The sequence below is a fragment of the Homo sapiens genome, chromosome 21 (assembly GCF_000001405.40).
Source record: "Homo sapiens chromosome 21, GRCh38.p14 Primary Assembly".
NCBI lineage: Eukaryota > Metazoa > Chordata > Mammalia > Primates > Hominidae > Homo > Homo sapiens.
The window spans coordinates 18,297,927-18,323,431 of record NC_000021.9 but is presented as its reverse complement, the minus strand read 5'-3'; the positions used below and the strand labels follow the sequence as shown (position 1 = coordinate 18,323,431).

Sequence of the window (25,505 nt, the reverse complement as noted above, 5' to 3'; positions counted from 1 at the left end):
GAGATCTGATGGTTTTATAAAAAGGAGTTTCCCTGCACATGCTCTCTCTTGCCTGCTGCCATGTAAGATGTGCCTTTCTCCTCTTTTGCCTGCCATGATTATGAAGCTCTCCCAGCCCTGTGGAACAGCAAGTCCATTAATTCTCCTTTTTCATATAAATTACCTAGTCTCAGGTATGTCTTTATTAGCAGCATGAGAACAAACTAACAGCACATGGCATTCCACCATCTGCAAAAGTTAAAGCATCTTGAAACAAAATTTTTAAGAAAAAGTAGGTCTTTAAACCCCTATTTTAAGTTGAAAATGAGAAAGGAGAAAAGACTTGAAAAGAGGAAAATGGATTGTCAAAAGGAAGACAGAGACAAATCTCTTCCATCAAAAGTTACAGTTACAGTTTGTTTAAATTGTGTTTTATGGACTCATAATAATTACACATGTTTATGGAGTATATGTAATATTTTAATACAAGCATACAATTTATAATCATCGAATCTGGGAAACCGAAATATTCTTCACTTCAAACATTTATTATTTCTAAGTGTTAGGAATATTCCAAATTGTCTTCTCTAGTTATTTTGAAATGTACCATAAATTATTGTTAACTATAGTCATTTTATTGTGTTACCAAACACTAGATCTTATTCCTTCTATGTAACTCTATTTTGGTACCCATTGAAACCCTTCTTTATCCTCCCTCCCCACTACCCTTCTCAGCCTCTGGTGACCACCATTCTATTTACTATCTTCATGAAATCAATTAATTTAGCTCCCACATATGAATGAGAACATGCAACATTTGTCCTTCTGTGCCTGGCAATTTCACTTAACATAATGTCCTCCAGTTTCCTCCATGTTGTTGCAAATGACAGGATTTCATTATTTATTATGACTGCATAATATTCCATTATGCAAAGATACCATTTTCTCTCTCTCTTTTCATCTGTTGATGGACTCTTACGTTGACTGCATAACTTGGCTATTAAGAATAGTGCTGCAGTAAACATAGATGAGCAGATATCTCTTTGATATACTGCTTTTCTTTCTTTTGGATAAATATCCAGCAGAGGGGCTCCTGAATTATATGGTAGTTATATTTTTAGTTTTTATATTTCTTAGTTCTTTGAGGAGCCTCATATTGGTTTTCATAATGGCTGTACTATTTTACATTTCTACCAAAGGTGTATAAATGTTCCCCTTTCTCTGCATCCTCATCAGCATTTATTTCCTGTCTCAGATTCTTATAATGAAACTAACACAATGTCAAAGATTTTGAAAAACAATATCAGCAACTTTGATTCAAGATCAAACTCAAAAACAGAGTACAATGTATTTCTCTCAACGCAAAAGACACCAATTTTATGGTGTATAGATTCTTTAGATTTCTTTTGCCTATAGCTAGATTTCATTTATACTGTTAAATTAGTATGTAATGTATGAAGTTATTTTTAAGGGAAAATCCCCCTGATTGAAGCTAGAATGGAGTCTTCAATGCCCATCACTGCATGATAAATACATGGGGAGTGTGGTTTCACATTCCTCCTAGACATAGGACAGATGCTGCTGGGAAGTGAGTAATGGAATGATTGAGTTTTCATCAGCACCGTCTGCTTCCGTCGAGATTTTTTATACCCAAAGACTGAAAAGCAATTACAGAAACAGGGACTTGGCTGTGGAGGCTAATTAAGCTGGTAAGGGAAAGCGAGATTGGACACACATCCTGGCACTTTACTTTGGTGGTTCTTTTAGAAAAAATTATAAATGGGCAACAAAAATCGTTTTTGCGGCCGGGCACGTGGCTCACGCCCGTAACCCCAGCACTTTGGGAGGCCAAGGCGGGCGGATCGAGAGGCAGGAGATTGAGACCATCCTGGCTAACACGGTGAAACCCCGTCTCTACTAATAATACAAAATATTAGCTGGGCGTGGTGGCAGGCACCTGTAGTCCCAGCTACTGGGAAGGCTGAGGCAGGAGAATGGCGTGAACCCGGGAGGTGGAGCTTGCGGTGAGCCGAGATCGCGCCACAGCACTCCAGCCTGGGCGACAGAGTGAGACTCCGTCTCAAAAAAAAAAAAAAAAAAAAAGAAGGAAAAAAATCGTTTTTGCTTCACTTGTCTTCTGGAGCTATTTTAGGGCCACCTTCCAAGCATCCAGTTGAAATTTAACACAATTGTATAGTGTATTTTTGTATCTTATTTTCTTTGTACTATGTTCCTAACATTTCCATTTCTACTGTAATAAAGTATATGTAATATAGATTTATTAAGATCTGTCTCCTATAAATGTCCCCTTATTCCTCTTTTCTGATACTCAGAGTCTTAACGATGGAATTCAACAGTGTTTATCAGGCAACTGTGGAAGTAGCAGCTGATTACATTTAGGGGGTTTGAGCCCTCCCCAGATTGTGTGGCATGTGCTTAGAGATCAATTTCGTTCCATTTTAAACCAAGCGTATGTTACTAAATGAGGCAACGCTACTGGAGACTTCATAAAAAGGAGATGGGGAAATTCAATTCTTAGCAATATTTCTTTTTCTTTCTCTCACCATGGGCATAAAACTATCAGAAATAAGATTTCAAGAGTCCAGAGAGAGTTAAACTGTTGGATTAAAGACTGCTTAATGAAGCTGAACTATTGTATGTTGCAAAAAATCAGAATCCAGTTTATGCGTGTAAGGAAAATTTTGAAAGAGCTTATTTATACTTCTCAGATTTTAAAATTTCTGTTCAGTTCAGTAACAATAGATCAGTTTTCCCCATTCAGCATTTTTTCATCCAGTTCATTCAGCTTATAGAAACAAGTTATTATTTTTCTGGATTCATAGAATATAACCCTAACAGCTTCAGCTAGAGCACAAAAATGAATTACATTTTTAAAACATTTTTATGTTATCATTTAAATTTTAATTCAGATATTTGTCTGTTTCCATTCAACTCGTATGTGATTTTCAAATTAAATGTTGCCTATCTACATTAGTAAAAGGGTAAAATTATCAGTAAATGTATATAAGATTAAATTATTGTCATTGAGAATTCATTTTTTACATAGTGATTTCAGTAAGCTATGAAAAAAGTAATAAGATAATTTAAAAATAAAGGGTGGTGACTAACATTCTGTAAGTATATCAATATAATTGATCATGGACATGTAATTCATGCTGTCAACTTTTTAAATAAAGTATATTAAAATATATATTTAAGACAGAATATATGAATACAAACACTTCTACCTACATTTAAGACTTCCAATTTTCTAAAGGAAAATTAATACCAGAAAGATAAAATATATAGTCAAAGTATTAATGCTGTCTTTAGAATCTGTAATTATCTCTGCCCATTTGTCATCTCACTAATCTGGTTTAAAAATATGTTTGTGAAACAAATTGATAATTACATTTTCAAGAACCTCCGTAATAGCATTATATTTTGAGATATGTAACCAGATTTTCTCATGGTATAAAGGTTTGTAGAAACAACCAGCCATGGCTTTCTAAAAATATTTTCTTGTTAAGGTAACTTAGATTTCAGATGAAAAAATACAGATTTCTTCAAAGCTTAAAGTAGAGTATACAAATAGCTCCAATTATTGTTGTAAGATACTGAGAGGAAAGGATTAGGTATGTTTTCTTATTTATTTTGTTATTCGTAGGGAGAAACAGCACAACTAGCACATGGAGTAAAAATGTTAACTTGAAAAATAGTGAAAGGCCGGGCGCGGTGGCTCACGCCTGTAATCCCAGCACTTTGGGAGGCCGAGGCGGCCAGATCACCTGAGGTCGGGAGTTTGAGACCAGCCTGACCAACATTGAGAAAACCCCGTCTCACCTAAAAATACAAAATTAGCCCAGCGTGGTGGCACATGCCTGCAATCCCAGCTACTTGGGAGGCTGAGGCAGGAGAATCACTTGAACCCGGGAGGCGGAGGTTTCAGTGAGCCGAGATGGCGCCATTGTACTCCAGCCTGGGCAACAAGAGCAAAACTCTGTCTCAAAAAAAAAAAAAAAAAAAAAAATCGGTGAAGAAGATTTTTTTTTACTGTTACTGTTTTTACTGTTAAAAATATTATCTACTGCGTATTCTCTGTATATGTATTGGTATGATAAATACACTTCATTATCTTATAAAATTTGTTCTCCTGACACACCAAAGACAAAAGTAGTATTTACTCCTATTGACAAAGAAACTGAGCCTCAGGCTAATTTCTTTGCCCAAGGTCAAAGAAATATTAAAAGAAATGGCTAAATTGCACCTTCAACCAAGGTCATATTACTTTAAGTCCTGTGTCTTAACCACTATTGAAATTTAACTAAGTAAATTATATCTTCATAATTCATAAAATTGTTTCTTTTTTTCAAATCACTAGAATTACCGTCAGCCAATTATCTTAAATTTTAAACTTTATTTGAAATCATAGTTTTAAAAATTGCTTTATATTACGTTGACTCTATTACTAAGCTTCATACTTATTTTGAGGCATATCAATCTTTTAACATACATTAATTTACTTTATGTTTTAAAAATATCTACTTATTCCCTGCTTTGTGAAAGACATTTCACCAAGACCTGGACATACAAAGATGAGAAAACATGGCTTTATGGGTATTACAGCTGGCATATTGTATATTCAGTTTACAGAATGACTGACCTCAATGACCATATAAGCAAAACAAAAGGTTCATTTGTCTCTATTTTAATTCAAATCTCCTTTTTCGGCTCTGAATATTTCAGGCAGATCTCTACACTTTTTCAGTTACTTCCGGTGTTAAATCATTTTATCTGAGTAACTTACACTCACTTGTAAGTGTTAAAATGAACAGTCAAGTATAATATCAACACTTTTATATCATCTAATTCAAAGCTTCTTTTATCCCTCAACTCAGGCACAGACCTTGGCTTAATAACTTAAGGCAGAGGAGGGTGGAAATATTGTCTTTGTTTTAGTTTCCACTTCCCTTTTTTCCCCATCTTCCCATCGTTCCAATGTTGGAAGATAGGAAGTTTTTATTTTTATTTATTTATTTATTTTTACCATTGTAGTTTTCATTTGGCAAACACCAGCTTCTGGCCAAATGCCAGCTCTGTTGTGAAACAGACTTGTGAGCTCTTCAGAGCATTGTTCCACCAGCCCTGGAATATTGCACTATAGACAATACACCTCTTATAGTACAATAATCTCTTATAAACTGGTTCAGCTCCGAATCCCTAATCCCCAGGTTCCATTCCTCCACTTTTTGTGCTAGAGCCGGGCTTCCCTGCCAGGCAGTTGTCATCTGATCATCTTTCCAGTGTCCACCTTGCCAACTTCCTAACTTCTGATTTCATTTCATAGGAATTGATACCAATCTTTATTTACACAGCTATCTGCCCACAAACTTCAGGAAAATAATGTCACTGTCTCATTAATATTTTCAGTATACTTCAGTTTATCCTGGTATTTATCAAAAACCAGGGTAGTGAAATGAATTTATTTGGTTTCACTACCCAACAAATTTTATGCCTTGTTATGGAATAGAATGGGTTGGGATAGGATGGGATGGGATGGGATGGGATGGGATGGGATGGGATGGGATGGGATGGGATGGGATGGGATGGGATGGAATAGGATGGGATAGGATAGAATGGGATGGGATGGGATGGGATGGGATGGGATGGGATGGGATGGGATGGGATGGGATGGGAAATAATAGAACAGAGTAAAAGCAAATTTTAATTTAGTTACACACACACACACAAACACACACATTGATGTGTATCCTAGAGTTATTACTTAAAATCTGTTTCATACTAATGTCAGAGTTTTAAAAAATCTGAAAGCCCTTACACTAGTCCCATGAAAGCCTGGTCCTTGTGGTTATGCAGTGTAGTCAACTTTTGGCCAGGGAGTTAGATGCTGACCTTGCTTCTTTCAGGCAACTCAATTAGGAATTGATTCTCTTAGGGCATCCCACACTTGGTTTGCTGGATAGCACCACCCTCCCCTTACCCCCATAAAAACACCCCCCCTCAAATACTCTATTCAATATATTTTTTAGAAAAATACTCTAATGCCCTTTTATTAAAAAGCTGAAAATAGATGATGGATATTGATAGTTGCTGGACTACTTTTGGTATTTTTTTCAATAAGTATAGTATGGCTATACTGAGTCCCTCTCTTTAGAAGTGTAATGGTATTTTTCAGTACTCTCAGATGTGAGTCTACAACTTAGATTCTAAAACAACAGGAATAATTCCTTTCAAGTGGCTTTATGTTTGGTCATCATAAATTCAGAAAGTCTCCATGGATATTTTTATAATTTGTTTCTGAAATCATATTAACCTGAACTGAGTCTCCTTGAAAGCAATGTAATAGTAATGTTATTATATTGACTAATAGTCACTAATAGTTTTCAAAATAGAAGCTTCCCTGTTTCTTATTTTTATCAAGTGCTTTTGCTTCCCCATATGATTGTTCACGTGCCATGTAGGGGATAAGACATTGAGCCTCTCCACACCTGACAGCCATCACCATTGTTAGGGAACCAAATTCCAAGTGGCCCTCATGGAGTTCCTACTCTCCTTCCAGCACATAACTGTACCTCCTAAGCCATAATCAGAAAGCACTGGAAGAGGGAAGCAAACCCCTCTCTCCCAGTGATATGAGGGCTCTCCCAGAACAAAACTTTTAAAGACCGAACAATCTCAGGAAACAGCAGTAGCTGCTTCTAAATAAGGAATGTTTCCACTAGGCCTCTTTTTGCACAACCCAAACTCTGGAAACCACCACCAACGGCCTCCAGATCTACCCAGTTTCTTCTTTGCCCAGGTTTTTCATTTTCCTTTTGTGTCTCCATGTGCCAAGCACATGCCCATGCCTCCAACACTGCTGTACTTGTTTGGAGCTCTATCCTCAACTTCTTTTCACATTACCGATACGGCAAAGTTTCCATTTCTTTGTAACTACCCTTTCCTGCCTGACCAAGCTTTAATTGAGCCTTCTGTTTCCGACCCAATCCAACTTTGATCTCACCAACAGACAACTTCCACATTTCTTTCTTACAAAGTTTTGGAAGTATCATTTGGATGGTGAGGCCAGGGGACCTCTCTGTGCTTGAGTAACAGTTCAATGGTTGTTGCTTGTATGTTCGTTTGGGGTGGAGGAGTTTGTTTATTGAAGAGATACTAACGAAATTACGAGGAAGAGGTGAGTTGACAACCTCTCAGCCACCTCTTAGAAATTCCCTGAGTTTTGCTGCAAAAGAGATGTCTGAGGTTTCATCCACACTCTTCTAAAGCTACATACACATCAGCTTGGAAACTATTTCTGAGGCTTTCTGAGCAAACAAGTAGATGGTGTTGCTCAGTATCAAAACTGGCTCCACCTTGAGCTGTGGCAAAGGACTCATGTTTATTATTTTATATATATATATATATTTTATTATACTTTAAGTTCTAGGGTACACGTACACAACATGCAGGTTTGTTACATGTGTATACATGTGCCATGCTGGTGTGCTGCACCCATTAACTCGTCATTTGCTCAGTATCAAAGCTAGCTCCACCTTGAGCTGTGGCAAAGGACTCATGTTTATTATTTTATATATATATATATTTTATTATACTTTAAGTTCTAGGGTACACGTGCACAACGTGCAGGTTTGTTACATGTGTATACATGTGCCATGTTGGTGTGCTGCACCCACTAACTCGTCATTTACTCAGTATCAAAGCTAGCTCCACCTTGAGCTGTGGCAAAGGACTCATGTTTATTATTTTATATATATATATTTTATTATACTTTAAGTTCTACGGTACATGTGCACAACGTGCAGGTTTGTTATATGTGTATACATGTGCCATGTTGGTGTGCTGCACCCACTAACTCGTCATTTACTCAGTATCAAAGCTAGCTCCACCTTGAGCTGTGGCAAAGGACTCATGTTTATTATTTTATATATATATATTTTATTATACTTTAAGTTCTACGGTACATGTGCACAACGTGCAGGTTTGTTATTGTGTATACATGTGCCATGTTGGTGTGCTGCACCCATTAACTCTCATTTACTCAGTATCAAAGCTGGTTCCACCTTGAGCTGTGGCAAAGGACTCATGTTTAAAGGGGAGCAAATGGGATTTGTACTCCAGAATCATCCATTTGTGTTTTCTTTATCCTATACAATAAACATTCTTTCCCCATAGAGCCATGCAAGGCAGACCATTTTCAATGTAAAAATGGAGAGTGTGTTCCACTGGTGAATCTCTGTGACGGTCATCTGCACTGTGAGGATGGCTCAGATGAAGCAGATTGTGGTATGTCTTATTTTTAGGAAAATACTTTTATGACTTTAGCCTCTGCATTTGGACTCTACAGTGTCAAAGAAAGATTATAACTGTGTCTATTAGGACCTGTTTTGATGCTTTGGAACGAGAACATCTCATCTCTGAGATGATTTTAGCACCTCTGTCCCCATCTGGATAGAAGAAAAGTTAATACGCAGGCCTCAGTTTATTGTTTGTTTCAATTTGGTCACACTTATTAACTGTAATTCTAGAGCAACAAATATCCATATAGGAAGCCGAGAATACCACAGAGACAATATTCCAAACCAAGCAGGCTAGCACCACTCATATTGGCTACTGTTTTCTGTTTGTTGCCCACATTCAGAGGCACCTGTGTGCTTACTTATAGTTCACTTTCTCCCCCTGCCCTGCTGAGTTTTCATTCCAGCTCCCCTTCCACACCTCAATAACATTATGAGTAATGGATACTTTTATTATGTCTTTTTATTTCTAAGCAAATATTTAACACTTACGTACTATGTACCATGCACTGTAACTAAGTTAAAAAAAAAATCCACAACAAGAATTAGGTATAGCTGGTCAGGCGCAGTGGCTCACGCCTATAATCCCAGCACTTTGGGAGGCCGAGGTGGGCAGATCATCTGAGGTCAGGAGTTCATGACCAGCCTGACCAACATGGTGAAACCCTGTCTCTACTAAAAATACGAAATTTGCCAGGCGTGGTGGTGGGTGCCTGTAATCCCAGCTACTCCGGAGGCTGAGGCAGGAGAATCGCTTGAACCTGGGAGGCGGAGGTTGCAGTGAGCCCAGATCATGCCATTGCACTCCAGCCTTTGTTACAAGAGCGAAACTCCATCTCAAAAAAGAAAAAAATAATCGGCTATAGTTTACCCATGAGGAAACTACAGCTTGGAAATGATAAGTGGCTGCCAAAGGTTGCACACCCAGTAAGGGCCATAGCTGTTTTTGAACCTACGTTTGTATAATTCTGTAGTCACTGCTCTTAGCTCTTGTCATAATAGGAAAAAAAAGGTAAACAATGTAGCATTATTTTATAGAATTACAACATAGTGTTTGTAGGTAAGACTACAATTACTGATGTTTTCCTCCCTTGATGAACGCGCTTAGCTTGGTCCAGTCCCTACCTGGCCACTAATGGCCTTAAAATTCTGTTCAAAATGGTTGTAAAATGATAAGTAAGTTGATAGAAATCAAATGGTATAAAAGCAAGTACAAAGAAAGTGGTTTTTTTTTTTTTTTTGGTGGGGAGGGAATTCCTAAAGTAATCCCTAAACTTGAGTTTCCTTCTTTCAGAAACTAAGTTTATATATACTCTTATATATACTCTTCACAGATAACTTTATTTTCTGTTTATTTGCTGTATAGATTTGTAATAAACTTGCATATCTCTGCATTTTCCATTTTTATGGTTACATAAAAGAGCAAAATTGTCTACTAAATTTATATTTTTCAAATTAGACCTTCCATCATGCTCTTAAGAAAAACTACAATCAATCTCTAAACTCGAAATATTAAGAACATTGCACATTTAGTTTAGAGGCCATAATTTACTCCTATCAATTTAGGTCAAAATGACCACATGTGTAATCTAATCTCTTTAATGTCTCTTTTTTTGTTAATTTTTCCAAAAAATTTGCTGTATATTTGAAAAATTTAATTCTATATATTTATGGGTTACAATGTGATGTTATTATATATAATATATATTAATAGAAAGTATGGAGAGAGAATGTATATACAGAGAATGTGTATATACATATTTAAAAAGTGTGTATATATATATAGAGAGAGAGAGAGATTGAGGAATGATTGAATTATGCTAATCAACCTATCCATCACCTTAAATACCATATTTCATGATGAGAAAATTTGAAATTTTGCAAAATTTTGAAATATACAATACATTATTATTAACTATAGTCACAGTGCTGTGCAAGAGATCTCATGAACTTATTCCTCCTGTCTAAATGAAGCTCTGTACTCTTTGAACGATGTCTTCCCATACTCCGCACCCTTCAGTCTCTGGTAACTACCATTATGCTCTCTGTGTCTTTAGTGCGTTTTTTCAATGGCACAACGAACAACAATGGTTTAGTGCGGTTCAGAATCCAGAGCATATGGCATACAGCTTGTGCTGAGAACTGGACCACCCAGATTTCAAATGATGTTTGTCAACTGCTGGGACTAGGGTAAGTAATTCTACTGAGTTCCTTTTTAAGAGATTTGCAAACCTTTTTATTACTATCAAATTAGGTTTAATAAGAGCTTTAAAATTTATAAAGTTATGAATTTAGAAAATACACATTAGCAAAAGGGAGAAAATAAAAATCTTGATTAACCCCATTTTCAAGTAATAACCACTGTTAATAACCTTTGTATGAATACTGTATAAAGTACATGTAAATATTATATAAAATACAATATACTCTGTTATACAAAATACTTATGTGTGGGCATTTCTCATGATTTTATATTTTTTGATGATTTTTTAATGAAATATTTCATTTTATCCTATATCATAATATAGATAAATAATCACAAGGGTACTACAGAGAATATGCTTTTGCTATATCTTTGCAACACATTTACAATAGTTTTTTTGGAAAATTTATAGAAGTACAATTGTAGTGGGAGAGGTTATGCAAAATTTGTAAAATATCTTTAAAATTAAAAATTTTGCATAACCTCTCCCGCTACAGTATTTCTATAAATTTTATATTACAGAAGGATAAAGAAAGATATTCTCAGCAAGGATGATGCAAGTAAAAATTCCAATTAATAACTCATCAAAAATGTATTATACCTCCCAGTCTAATGCATTAATAGCTTGCATCAAATATGTAATTTCGCCATATTTGTTTTTTACCTTCCCATCAAGTCTTAAAAGTAATTAAGTAATTAGGTAGAAAATGAAAGTAATGAGCAGTAATAACATACTTATTTTGCATTTTACAACCTGGCAACTCTAACCCACCATTCTGATCCTTAATGATTTTGAAGATTTAGTGATTACTAACCATGTTGGCTCACATGTGGTTATCTTTATAACTTATAACACTATATCATTTAAAGTTTGTTTGTCATATTAAACTATGAGGTCTATAAAGGGAAGAACCATGTCTATTTTGTATTATTGTAATGCTAAACTCTAGGCTAATCCTTGTCTTTAAAAAGCAGTGCCAAATACTTAAGCAATACATTATATATACACTCTATGTATATGTAAATATCCATATACCAATCTATAAAAACATATGCCCAAAGTTTTCTAATTATAAAACATATGCTTTTCTCTTAGGTTGATTCCAAATGTTGGCTATTGTGAATAGTGCTGCAATAAACATGGGAGGGCAGATATCCTCTTTGATATACTGAGTTCCTTTCTTTTGAATATATGCCCAGCAGTGGAAGTGCTGGATTATATGGTAGTTCTATTTTTAGTTTTTTAAGAAACTTCCATAATGTTCTGAATAGTGGCTGTACTAATTTATATTTTCCCCAACAGTCTATGGGTGTTCTTCTTCCTCCATGTCTTCACCAGTATCCCTTACTGCCTCTCTTTTGATAAAAGCTATTATAACAGGGGTGAGAGATATCTCATTGTGGTTTTGATTTGCATTTCTCTAGTAATTAGTGATGTTGAGCATTTTTTCATATTCTGTTGGCTATTTGTATGTCTTTTTTTGAGAAATGTCTATTCAGATAATTTGCCTATTTTTAAAGTCGGAATATATGTTTTTATTTCTTGTCGATTTGTTTGAGCTCTTTATATATTCTGGTTAATATGTGCTTGTCAAATGGATAGTTTGCAGATATTTTCTCCCATTCTGTGGATTTGCTCTTCACTTCGTTGGTTATTCCCTTTGCTGTGTAGAAGCTTTTTAGCGTGATGTGATCCCATTTGTCCATTTTGGCTTTGGTTGCCTGTGCTTTTATGGGCTTACTCAAGCCATCTTTGTCCAGACCGATGTCCTGGAGTGTTTCCCCCAATGTTTTATTCTAGTGGTTTCAACATTTTAGGTATTAGATTTAACTCTTTAATCCATTTTGATATGATTTTTCTATATGGTGAGAGATAAGGGTCTAGTTTCATACTTCATATAGTTATCCAGTTTTCCCAGCATCATCTACTGAAGCGATTGTTCTTCCCCCCCAGTGAATGTTCTTGGTGCCTTTGTTAAAAAAAAAAAAAAAAAAAAAGAATCAGTGGGCTGTAAACATAGATTTATTTCAGGGTTCTCTATCTTGTTCTCTATTCTGTTCCATTGGTCTGTTGTCCATTTTTATGCCAGTTATCTTGGTTACTATAATTTTGTAGAATATTTTGAAATCTGGTAGTGTGAAGCCTCCAGTTTTGTTCTTTTTGCTCAGGATTGCTTTGGCTATTTGGTGTGTTTTGTGGTTCCATACAAATTTTAGGATTTTTTTTCTATTCCTGTGAAGAATGTCTTTGGTGTTTTGATAGGGATTGCATTAAATCCCTATCATTAAATAGGGATTGGGTAGTATTGTTATTTTAACAATATTAAGTCTTCCAATCCGTGAGTATAGGATGCTTTTCATTTGTTTGTGTCCTTTTCAATTTCTTTCATCAGTGTTTTACAGTTTTCCTTGAAGAGGTCTTTCAACTCCTTGGTTAAATTTATTTCTAGGTGTTTGTTTTTTTTTGTGATTGTTGTAGATGGGATTACTTTCTTGATTTCTTTTTCAGCTAGTTGGTTGTTGATGTAAAGAAACTGTAATGATTTTGTTTTGTTTATTTTGTATCCTGAAACTTTACTAAATTCAATGATCAATTCTCTTTATTGGTGGAGTATTTAGGTTTTTCTGTAGATAAGATCATGTCATCTATGAAAAGAGACAATTTGACTGCCTTCTTTCCAATTTGGATGCCCTTTATTTCTCTCTTTATTCTAATTGCTTTGTCTAGGACTTTCAGTGTTATACTGAATAAGAGTGGTGAGAGTAGGTATCTTTGTCTTGTTCCAGTTCTTAGAAGAAAAGATTTCAACTTTTTCCTGTTAATATATTGTTAACTATGGCTTTGTCATATGTAATCTTTATTGTGTTGAGGTACGTTCCTTCTATACCTAACTTAGCTTCTTACAGTTGGACTGAGAGCTTCCAGTTCCTGTTATATTCTCAAAAGCTGTGCATTTAGAATGGAAACTTCCCAGCTCCAAGCCTCATCCAAGTGATGTCAGCCTCATCAGGAACGAAATTCCTATCAAGAGCAAAGAGAGGAAATGAATTTCATTATTCATTATATAAATAATCAGTTTAGTTGAACTAATTTACGCTCCCACCAACAGTGTAAAAGCGTTCCTATTTCTCCACATCCTCTCCAGCATCTGTTGTTTCCTGACTTTTTGATGATCACCGTTCTAACTGGCGTGAGATGGTATCTCATTGTGATTTTGATTTGCATTTCTCCAATGACCAGTGATGATGAACTTTTTTTCATATATTTGTTGGCTGCATAAATGTCTTCTTTTGAGAATTGTCTGTTCGCATCCTTCACCCACTTTTTGATGGGGTTGTTTGTTTTTTTCTTGTAAATTTGTTTGTTTTTTTCTTGTAAATTTGTTACTTCTTTGTAGATACTGGATATTAGCCCTTTGTCAGATGGCTAGATTGCAAAAATTTTCTCCCATTCTGTAGGTTGCCTGTTCACTCTAATGATAGTTTCTTTTGCTGTGCAGAAGATCTTTAGTTTAATTACATCCCATTTGTCAATTTTGGCTTTTGTTGCCATTGCTTTTAGTGTTTTAGTCATGAAGTCTTTGCCCATGCCTATGTCCTGAATGATATCGCCTAGGTTTTCTCCTAGGGTTTTTGTGGTTTTAGGTCTTACGTTTAAGTCTTTAATCCATCTTGAGTTAATTTTTGTATAAGGTGTAAGAAAGGGGTCCAGTTTCAGTTTTCTGCATATGGCTAGCCAGTTTTCCCAACATTGTGGAAGACAGTGTGGCAATTCCTCAAGGATCTAGACCAGAAATACCATTTGACCCAGCAATCCCATTACTGGGTATATACCCAAAGGATTATAAATCATTCTACTATAAAGACACATGCACACGTATGTTTATTGCAGCACTGTTCACAACAGCAAAGACTTGAAACCAACCCAAATGTCCATCAGTGATAGACTGGATAAAGAAAATGTAGCACATATACACCATGGAATACTACGCAGCAATAAAAAAGGATAAGTTCATGTCCTTTGCAGGCACATGGATGAAGCTGGAAAACCATCATTCTCAGCAAACTAACACAGGAACAGAAAACCAAACACTGCATATTCTCACTCATAAGTGGGAGTTGAACAATGAGAACACATGGACACAAGGAGGGGAACATCACACACCAGGGCCTGTCAGTGGGTGGGGGACTAGGGGAGGGATAGCATTAGGAGAAATATCTAATGTAGATGATGGGTTGATGGGTGCAGCAAACTACCATGGCACATGTATACCTATGTAACAAAACTGCATGTTCTGCACATGTGTCCCAGAACTTTAAAAAAAAAAAAAAAGTCTCAGTGTATAGTTTTCTAGATCTTTGTTCATATATGTACTTTTAAACTTTTTATAAAATGGGGTCAAACCACATTCTTTTGTGATTTCTTTCTATTCCTACTTTTATTGAGCATATTTTTTATAAATAGTATGTGTTAAAAAAATCGATTTGGTTTATGCATATTAGTCAGAGCCTTCCTGTACTTTAAATGTGTGTGTGTGTGTGTGTGTGTGTGTGTAATTCTTTTTATTCTACAGTATAAACTTCAACAAAAACTCTTTAAACATGGGGAGCTTTCAGACATAAAGTCTTGGAAGAGGGCAAGTTGTAGGAGAAACAATTTTTGTTGATAAAGAGTCAACAAAACCCAGAAAGTGACAGTTGTTTATTTTCATTTCAAGTAAAGAACTGGGTAAGTGGCATTCATTCCAAGTTCCTACTTTAAACACTAATTTTAGTTCAATAGTGAATTCAAAGAGGTGAGGTCCTAGGAAGCCATTAGCTTCAATTGCTCAGGAGCTGCTGTATAGACTCAGGAACTTAGTTTCTAAAGATTAAGCTAAGGAGACTGGGGACTTGACCTTGCTTCCACAATTGATGCGCCCAAGTGCCCCGGATGACTGGGCTTTCCCTGCCCAGATTTGTGTCTCAATTCATCACTTTTCGCAGATCACCATGTGATTATAAAAAGAGGAGTTCTTTCTATTGTGGTTTGTGAATTTTAACTACATTGTTTCCTGGAGGATGTATTGGGTTAAGATGAGTTATTCACAAAGGTCAAAATGATCAACACTTTACTTTGACAGAAGTTTTTTTCAATTAATTTGAATGAAACCTGTTAGTTGGCTGATAGCAAAATGTGGATCCCTACATTTACGTTCCTTCCAATGAATTGGAAGGAAACATACATCTTTATTACATTTTAACAGTATATCATGTAAATATATTATTATTATTCCTGGGTCAGAAATCTAAGCACAGGTGATGATATTGTATGTGTTCCATGAATAAATAAGACATGGCTTTACATGCTTATGTGGTGATGATAGACACATAATAGATCATTACAATATAATGTGATAAATGCAATGTGCTGTAGCAGAACTTAAGTCAATAAAGGCATGTCAAGGAAGGCTTTCTAGAAAATGGCCTGAGCTGAGTGGATGACACACAGCTCTGTTCCATTTACTTACGTGGTTTCCCCAGCCAGATTTTACTCTCTAGTTCACTGATCCCATTTCCCACGAATCGTAGTCCTTCTAACCAGATACAGAGAGACAAATAACCAGATTTTTTAGTGTCTGTAACACAAGTAGTACATCCCACTGCCTTAGATACAATATTTTTGATGAAGGTCAGGTGCTTGCTTTCTTCGTAAATGAGTTAGGTAATCTCTGCAAAGACTTTAATCTTTGAGCCTGTGCTTATTAAATAGTCTCCATAGTGCTCTAGTAATTGAAAGAAAGTTACATCCTTAATGAGAATTTGTCTAGACTGGTGCATGGTAACTGAAAGAAAACTTAGTGAGTTTAAAATGATGTGTGTTTGCTGCAGTAGAAAGTAATTTGATAGTCAATTTATTAAAAAGCCACTGTAGTCTCTCAAGATTATTTATGCAGATAGGGTACAAAATGCAATTCCCCTCAGATTCTAGTAAATCCTATGAGGCCTATTTCATTAGCCTTTCCTTTTTTTATATTAAACCTTTTCATTTCCTATCATTCATTACATGCATAAATAAAAAGTACCTTGAATAACATTTTCATGTCTTTGATCAAAGTATGAAAGAAAACATTTTATACTGATGCAACAATAAAGGTTAAAAAAACTTAGGGTAGTGTTTTTTTAATGGTATTTCCTAGCAAATAGCATTTCCCTGTTACTAACCCAATATATAAATGATATAGCTGATTTACCCTGCTAAATCATTAAAATCTAGAAAAAAACATCATTTCTGTAAAACTTTAGAGAATTTAGGAAATACTAATATCTCAAAAGTGGAGTTAGTTATTTGTGTTCTAATAAGGTGGCCTATGAGGAATTGGTGTTAATTTTTAAATCCCATATTAGTCCTGTCCAAGATACTTCTAAATATCAGGAACATCAAATTGAGCCTTACATTCTCAAATGCTAATAAGAAACAGAATTACCCCAAGGTTCTTCCATTGCAGCGGTGTTTTGAAAATACTGGGGGAAGAGATTAAAATGTTTTTCAATAAGCCTTTCAAAAACATAGAGCATAATCATTTAAATTCTGATGTAACCACCGCAATGAATTTGTTTATACAACTTAGCACTGAGTTCCGGAACACTGGAAATAGAACCTATGTTTCATCCTAGTTTAAGGAGGTGGTAGACATATAGTGCTTCTGCCCTTGTTCATATTTTCTGCCAATGTCCCAAAATTTTCAAGTATGTGGGGAAAACCTTGACTTATTACAACTCAGACACAAAACAACAACACAGATATGGGAACAGTAAAAAAAAAATGTAACCTTTGGCTTTAGATGATTTCTACTTAATTCGCTAACTTTACACAGAAATAAATAATATTTTACATTTTTAAAATTTTTTGATTTGCAACTTCAGCACAGAAGGTACTTTTATTCTTAGCTATGTTACTGTGGTGGGGTGGGTGAGAAAAGCTTTGGGCAAGGTTGTGGAAGAAATCTTATTTTAATTTGGTTTAATTGACTTAACTACAAAGTCCATCATTTACTTGAAGCACAAATTATAACTCTGATGTTTTCTCCATTTTAAAATTAGAAATGCATTAATTAAAAATAATTAAAGAGCAAATCATTAATAGCAAACTACCATAATTTGATACTTTTTAACATTAATACTTAATAGGTTTAATATCTAGCAGGGTGGGGGAAGGCACAGTGATAAGATAATTATGTCTGCTCTGGGCAAGGGAGTGACAATAGGTGTACCACTGACTTGTAATACAGCAGCTACACCAGCTCTTGAAGGTACAGCCTGGTTATACATAAGAATCACCTAGTCTCAGCCTCAGACTCTTAGATTCAGAATGGTCTAGGTCAGTGGATCTCAATGTGTGGTTTTAGGACCAAATTCCATCCCAGCATGGAATCACCTGGGATAAATTTATAGAAATTCAAGGGGCCGGGCGTGGTGGCTCACGCCTGTAATCCCAGCACTTTGGGAGGCCGAGAAGGGCGGATCACGAGGTCAGGAGATGGAGACCATCCTGGCTAACCCGGTGAAACCCCGTCTCTACTAAAAATACAAAAAATTAGCCGGGCGCGGTGGCGGGCGCCTGTAGTCCCAGCTACTCGGGAGGCTGAGGCAGGAGAATGGCGTGAACCCGGGAGGCGGAGCTTGCAGTGAGCCGAGATCGCGCCACTGCACTCCAGCCTGGGCGACAGAGGGAGACTCCGTCTCAAAAAAAAAAAAAAAAAAAAAAAGTACGGAAATTCAAATCCTGGAATCCTACCTCTGGCCTATTGAACCCAAAAGTCTAGCGTAAGGCCCAGCAGTCTGTGATTTAATAAGTCCTTCAGGTAATTCAGGTGCATTCTAGAGTTGAGAACCACCACCTAGGGTAAGTGCTCTCAACCTTTGTTTATGTGTCATAGGTACTTTTGTCAGTCTGGGGAAACTTAATTTGGAGAATCTTCTTTGTCTGTCGCTCCTACTTCGGCTTACACTTTTTAATATGTATTTTGTCACCCAAGTGAGACTTTGTTGCCAGGAAATTAATAAGAATATAATTACACACAAAAAAGAGTATTTTTAAGTATATAAACTAAAACACACAGAACTACAAAGGAAATTTATTACATTAAAAATAATTATCAAAAATTTTTAAATCCATGGAAATATATATTTCTTTATTAACATATTTAATAAGATACACTGGTGGCTCTAATGACCACTGTAATATCAAAGGTGAACATAAATGATATTTTATATGTATCTAGCAACTGCAATATGATATGAATATATCTGCAGTTCATTTTGGTGACCATATTATAGATGTTGCTAATAATTTTGTGGTTAATCACCTACATTTGTATCAGAAGAAGAGATTAAAGTTAGTAAAAATAAAGATGTAATTATTTCTTTGCCAACTACCAACCTCCTACATGTTATCATGAACTTCCATGGATTCCAAAGAGGTGAAGGACCCTGGCTGGAGTGAGACCCAGAGGTCTTAGTTCTTTAAAAGGCCGAGGTCATTCTGACAGAGTAGTCAAGACACGCACGATCCTTCATATACTCATTTCAGTAGAAAACAACATAGAAGTTATACAAAGCATCCCCAAACTTTGACAGTTTGATTTCACCTGGTAATAAAAACAAAATAAAGATACACACACACACACATATCAAACAACTTTTTTCTACCGTACCAGGTTTAAACACCCTATTGAGAATCATCTGACTTAATCCAGGACATTTCTTAGTTTGTCCTAGCGTACTTTGACTTTGTTAGAACCACCCCAGACCCCCACGAACCCTGGCATAGATGAAATCAAATGGAGAATTTTTTAAAACCTGCATCAGAAATCTGAGAAGGATATCATCAACAGAGTGAAAAATATCCATAGCAAGGTTTTCACCACCCACAGACGGGTATTACTTCTTACTTGGAAAAACATTATTCCTCCTTTCTCCTACTAAGCATTTGAAAATATTTTATTGGAAATCAAGACTTTTGTGAAATGTCGTTTCTTTGCACCACCACCATTCAGGGAGAATCTTCTTTGTCTTTCATTCGTATTTTGGCTTACACTTTTTAATATGTATTTTGTCACCAAAGAGATTCTTTGTTGTCAGGAAATTACTAAGAATATAATTACACACACAAAAGAGGGAGAACATCTTTTATGTTTTGGCACAATTACAAATCATCTGCCAAAAATTATCTGTAATGTATAGGTATTTATTTTGTTATATAAAAACAAGAGAGTATGTTTTCACCCAAGACAATGTCCTTTATCATTTCCTTAGATCCTGTTATTTGGAAAAGAGGAGGTTTCTATATTCTAAAACAGAAATAGGTAAGGACAGAAAACCTCAGCCCTATGAAGCTTATAACAAAACCTTCCTTATTCATTCTGCTTTTATTCTAAAAAGTGCTTCCAACTGCTCAACTTGTAATTAACGCTATATATTCTATGAGATGAAGAACAATTTTTGAATAAAATCGATAAAATCCAATGAAATAATATCCCCTTTTTCCTCCCTCCCTTTAATTTTTCCTTCCTCTTTCTCCTTTCCTCATTTTCTTTCTTCTTTCCTCATATGCTTCTATTCTTTCTTTTTTCCCCCATGATTTTCTTCCATTATCTGTTTTCCAAAAAGGAACTGAGGTCTATATAACAAAGAACATATGCAGTAAAGTTAATAGAATACTACAGAAAAATAAGATCCAAAGAAATAAAGAGGCAAATCTACAAAACATGAAAGGTCGGTGTAATTACTAACACTTATGTCTGAGATTCCTGGAGACCCACGCAAAAAGGAAAACATTAAAAAACCATGTAATTTTCCTGACGAAATAAGATAAATGCTAACAGTTCCAAAGGGATGACAAGTTCTAAAGGACACTAAATTCTAAAGGAAATTTCACTCATGTGTACTTAGAAAGTGATAATGCACTGAGAAAACTTAATAAGAAATGTAGAGGTGTGTGTCATATGCCCTCTACTCCAAACAAACAAACAAACAAACAAAAGGAACTCCAACAGCAGCAGCAGCTAAGGAAATAATGTTAAAGTGGTTCACGTTGCCCAAGGTTTCCAAGATGTTGCCCATGAAGAGATTCTGCCTCTTTGACAATCTCCTAGAAGTATCACTTCTCTCAGACGTATTTTTGGTAGGAAGGAGGTACCAGCAGTTTCTTTCCTTTGTAATACCATTGCATCTGTAAGATAACAGAGAATAGCTACCAGACTAACCCATCAATTTACCTCTTGCTCTTAATACAGTAGCTTGCACAAAAGTAGAAATTGATTAGGTTAAGATAATTGTTTTTATTGACATTTCTTTACTTCTGAGTAAATGCCATCAACTCCTAAGGGTGGAAGTCAGAAAATCTAAAATTAATTAAACTTACCTGTTTGCTAAGAGCTATCACTGGGCTAGGTGTGTGCTAGGTGTATTGTTATAAATGCAATACATGGTTAAATAATTGTAGTGGAAATGTGTCCAGCTCAGAAATGGCATTTCTACCTACCTGCCCACATGCCTTTACTTTCCTAGTGGGATGATTTGCCATCGAATCTCTTCTATCCACCAAGCCTCTGCCTGTAAAATGGTCCCCCTGCCTTCTGTCCTGCTAAATCAATCCCCTTCTTTCCCTCCAATCTGAAAAGAAACAACCGTCCTTCTCCAAAAGCCTTTTCGGGCTAATCCCACCTGGCTCTATTCATTACTTAAACCTTTTGGGGTGTGAAATGAGCTACAGTGCCTAGTTGCAGTATTTGCAGCATGCATTATTATTCTTTTTAGCTTTAGTGTGTCCAAAGGCCTTAAAACATCCCCGCCTAAGCTCCTGCTCCAGGGAAGAATTCTTATCACAGCAAATTCAGCCTGAGAAGTGAGACAAAAGAGAAGAAACCTAGTCAGGGGCTAAGAACAGAGCAGAAGATTTAATACCATGCAAGTATCCTTGAGATATCCTTTTTTACTCCCTAGAATTCATCTATGAGTATATTTTTATACGCCATCTATGACCTCAAAAATAATAATGGTTGCATCTATATGCTTCTTTTCTCACATGGAATAAAGTTTTCCTAAAGTAAGGAGAGCTCTTTGAGGTTATATAACCTATAAAAATGGCAATAAAAGCTTAGAAATAGGTTTCCGGGAGGCATTAGTATGTCAACAAGGTAATGCTATATGGAGTTTCTATGTGATACTAAACTTCTGATTTCAAACAGCTATGTGAATGTGTAATGAAGTTATCTAAATCTGCAAATATGGAACATTTTAAAGATTTAGAAAATGTACAGTCTAGTTTTAATCTTCGCAGAGTGCCTCTCTAAAAATCAACAACTAATTTCCTTGCAAGAAAAGAAAACTGAGGCAGTAAGAGCCTCAGGTGCGTGCTTAAATATTACAGAACTTAATATAATACATTTCCTCTGAATTCAATTTTTTAGTAGTTCTGAGATTTTTGTCTTTCAAAAGTAAATGGTGACTTCACATAGGGTAATCTTTTCTTCTGTGAAGAAGATTTTTAATGTATATTTATTGCCTCGTGATTTCTTAAAATAAGGAATAGTTTGTTGTAAACTTCTGCTGCTTTTTAATCTGTTTACTGTGCTTACAAAGAAATAAATTGTGTTTAGTCAGAAAAAGAATGAGTTTGACTTGACAGGATTTGAAATGCAGGTAGTCCATCACAAATCCCAAATTTAACATGTAGAACTGACATCTGGAGAAACATTGGTATGAACTGAGGGCCCTATACCCTACTCTTATGTTACTGGTAACAATATTTAGTACAAAAATGTAATTATGTGATAATTTTGTAACTATTTTTGAAGGAGTATTTTGTTCAACTACTCTAAATAACCCAAGACGACATATTTATATTTGTTTTCTCATGTTAAATTTGAGACTAAAAATGTTGAAAAGATCATCTCAGAAAATAAGATTACACATCTTTTATCCATGTGTATATGTATCTCCAATTTTCTCTGCTGGATAGTGAAAGTGCCACCCTGGAGCAGCATTTGAAAATCTCGGGGTGGAACAAGTGGCATTTACTGAATACCCATTATTCTTAAAAATTTGGCTCTAGTCATCTTTCCTTCTAGAATAGGCATATGTTTAAAAAAAAATCACTGTCAATCCTATCCAAATGCATGCCAGAAGTAGATGTGTCATAAATAGGCTTGCTTAAAAAATATTTACAAATAATTTTTAAATACTTGTTCAATTTAGTTTTTCTCCAAATTTTGGTGTGAATTTCCAGAGAAATTAATGTATCTGGCCAGGTGTGGTGGCTCACACCTGTAATCCCAGCACTTTGGGAGGCCAAGGCAGGTGGATTGCTTGAGGTCAGGAGTTCACGACTAGCCTGGCCAACATAGTGAAACACCCTCTCTACTAAAAATACAAAAAAAATTAGCCAGGTGTGGTGGCACACGCCTATAGTCCCAGATACTCGGGAGGCTGAGTCAGGAGAATCACTTAAACCTGGGAGGCAGAGGTTGCAGTGAGTCGAGATTGAGCCACTGCACTCCAGCCTAGGCAACAGAGTATCCAAAAAAAAAAAAGAGAAAGAAAGAAGGCAGGAAGGCAAGAAGGAAGGAAGGAGAAAGAAAGAGAGAGAGAGAGAAAGAAAGAGAGAGAGAAAGAAGAGAGAAAGAAAGAGAGAAAGAAGAAAAACAAAGAAAGAAAGAAAGAAAAAGAGAGAAAGAAAAAGAAAGAAAGAGAAAGAAAGAAAAAGGAATGTATCCCTTCGGGCTCTGTCTTAAAAGAGATATCCAAGAGACGGGGGATATATCCAAGAGACGAGCTATAGATAAGTGAAGAGTCTAAAATCCACCTCTCTAACATCTATTTTTAATGATACACCTTTCAAAAGGTTTCCTCATTTAGACATGAGTGCCGTAAAACAGATTATTGGGTAACTAGAAGTCACTTTGTATGTCAAAAAGCAGAGCCTCATGCCAGTAGCAGAAAAAGATGCTATATTTGGCTATAACATGATTTCCTGACTGTAGCAGGCACCAGGATCACCTGGAGGGCTTGGTGAAATACAGATAGCCGGACCCTACCCTAGAGCAGGCCTAAGACTACTGGCTAAGTCGGCCTCGAGTGAGGGTGGAGAATTTGCCTTTGGACCTATGTTCTCTCCTGAGGCTGGTGCTGCTTGTCTGGAAAGAGCATCACTTTGAGAATGTGTCATGGGGAGTCAAGAACGTGGAAAACTACCTAGAAGAATGTTAAACACAGGGCAGGCATTCAGCTGAATGAGGAAACTAGAAATGATCAAACACAAGAAAAGAAGAGAGATGTCTAGAAGACAGGCTGGAGAATGACTCTCCCAACCAACCAACTTTACTCTGGCAGCAGTGATGTTCACGAATCAACGAATTCCAGTGACGTTTCTGGAGCCTGCAGACAGCAAAACACAACTAAAACCTCTTTAATTTGAAATGGCATCCCTTGATATTTTTGAAAGCTGAGATTACTGTGAGGATTTCTACCAAAACCTGCAAGAATGGTGAAATTCAAGGTCCTCTAACATCTGTGTTTATCTAGATTCGGTCTGCTCTAAATGTGTGAGTCCTTAAATACAAGTGTTCTGCATCTGTGAAGTTCTTCATGATCTGGAGCATTCCAGACTTTCTACATTCTCAGCTACCCTTTGACATCTTCACACCTGTTTTGTTTTCTAAGCCATAGCAAATACATTTTATGTAAATATTTAAATGAGATTTTCCTTCTGCCCACTTGGTGGAATAGCATAATCTTTAACAATAGGAATTCCAAGGCTCATCTTTCCCTTGGTAAATCCATTTCAGGCTTTATTAAAGTATGGTAATGGCTTTGTGTGTTTCAGTTACTTTTATCTGTTTACAAAATAAAAGTGCAAGATTTAAATTCTGGAACATTAAATAGACATCTATTGTCCCAGCTCTACGTTCAGTAGATGAAAGTTACTAAACATTCTTTCAGCTTGATGAAAACATTAAAAGAGAGAAGAACCACTTTCTAAATAGTTCGTATCTTCTAATTGATCAGAAAAGCTTTGAATGTTACTTGGAAGTTCCCTGGAAACAGACAGAAAAGGGTCAGTGTTGGCAATAGCCTGGGGAAGACATTGGGGCTTCTTTTAAAGAGGCAATGGGTGGGTCCATCACAGTACTCCAAAAGGTAGAACCACATCATCTCCCTGCTCACTGGTAGAAGAGAGCAGAAATCAGGATGTTTCCAGCCTAAAGGCATATTTTTATATGATGATTAAAATCTGAAATAAAAGGCAAGAAACAAGATTAAGAATTAAAAGCTAAAAGTCTCCAGCTAAGTCTAAAAAAGAGTGTCAGGATAATTAAGAGAAATCTTCAATTAGAGCTCACAGTTGAGAGCATGGGAATTATAGGTTTTCAGGGAAAAGAAAGCCTGGGGCCTCAATGTCTTTGATCACACAGAGGTGTCTCTCTCCACCCTGTGGTGCCTCGCCAATTGACACTTGCAGGCCAAAGCTGCATAGTCTCTCCTTTAGTGCAGTCACATGACTTCCTTTAAATTAGGGCTTGTTAGCCTTTGAATTGAATGAAATATCAAGAACAAAGCAAAATTAAACACTGAAGATAGTCTCTGTCTATGTTGTTATCTACATGCACTTTTAAAAAGATGAGCCAAAAAAAAGATGAGCTATACAACAGGAGAAAAGCTTAATAAATTACAGTGCAGCAATGCTGGGAAATTGTCATTCAAAGCGGTTTTTATGGAAACTATTTGACAACATAGAAAAAATCACATTTATAAAACAGGTAACTAAGTGATATATGTAATGATTTAACTTTGTAAAATAATACATAAGAATGCAAACAAAGACTAAAGATATTACATTAAAGTTAAAATGACATTTCATGGGATTATGGGTAATTCTACTCATTTGCATCATCCTTTAGATAGGAAAACACATGAAGTTTTATATTAAAACGTTCATTTTTTTGGCTGGTATCCCATAATTT

At 35.9% G+C, this 25,505-nt stretch overlaps 1 protein-coding gene across 8 annotated transcripts in view, besides 1 other annotated feature; it reads left to right on the top strand.

The window, feature by feature from the left end:
- TMPRSS15 (transmembrane serine protease 15) overlaps positions 1-25,505 on the top strand; it is a 216,769-nt gene that overhangs the window by 162,453 nt on the left and 28,811 nt on the right. For all 8 annotated transcript variants that reach the window (NM_001428057.1, NM_001428056.1, XM_047440913.1 and 5 more), the window contains 2 exons: positions 8,176-8,286; positions 10,355-10,487. In NM_001428057.1, the coding sequence (NP_001414986.1) occupies positions 8,176-8,286; positions 10,355-10,487 (244 nt within the window). The remainder of the gene's footprint in view (positions 1-8,175; positions 8,287-10,354; positions 10,488-25,505) is intronic.
- Positions 24,386-25,213: an enhancer, noted in NCBI's record as "NANOG hESC enhancer chr21:19670536-19671363 (GRCh37/hg19 assembly coordinates)". NCBI's record gives its function as "activates a minimal SCP1, AML or CMV promoter by ChIP-STARR-seq in naive H9 embryonic stem cells {active_cell/tissue: H9 hESC(naive)}" and the evidence as "EXISTENCE:reporter gene assay evidence [ECO:0000049][PMID:30033119]".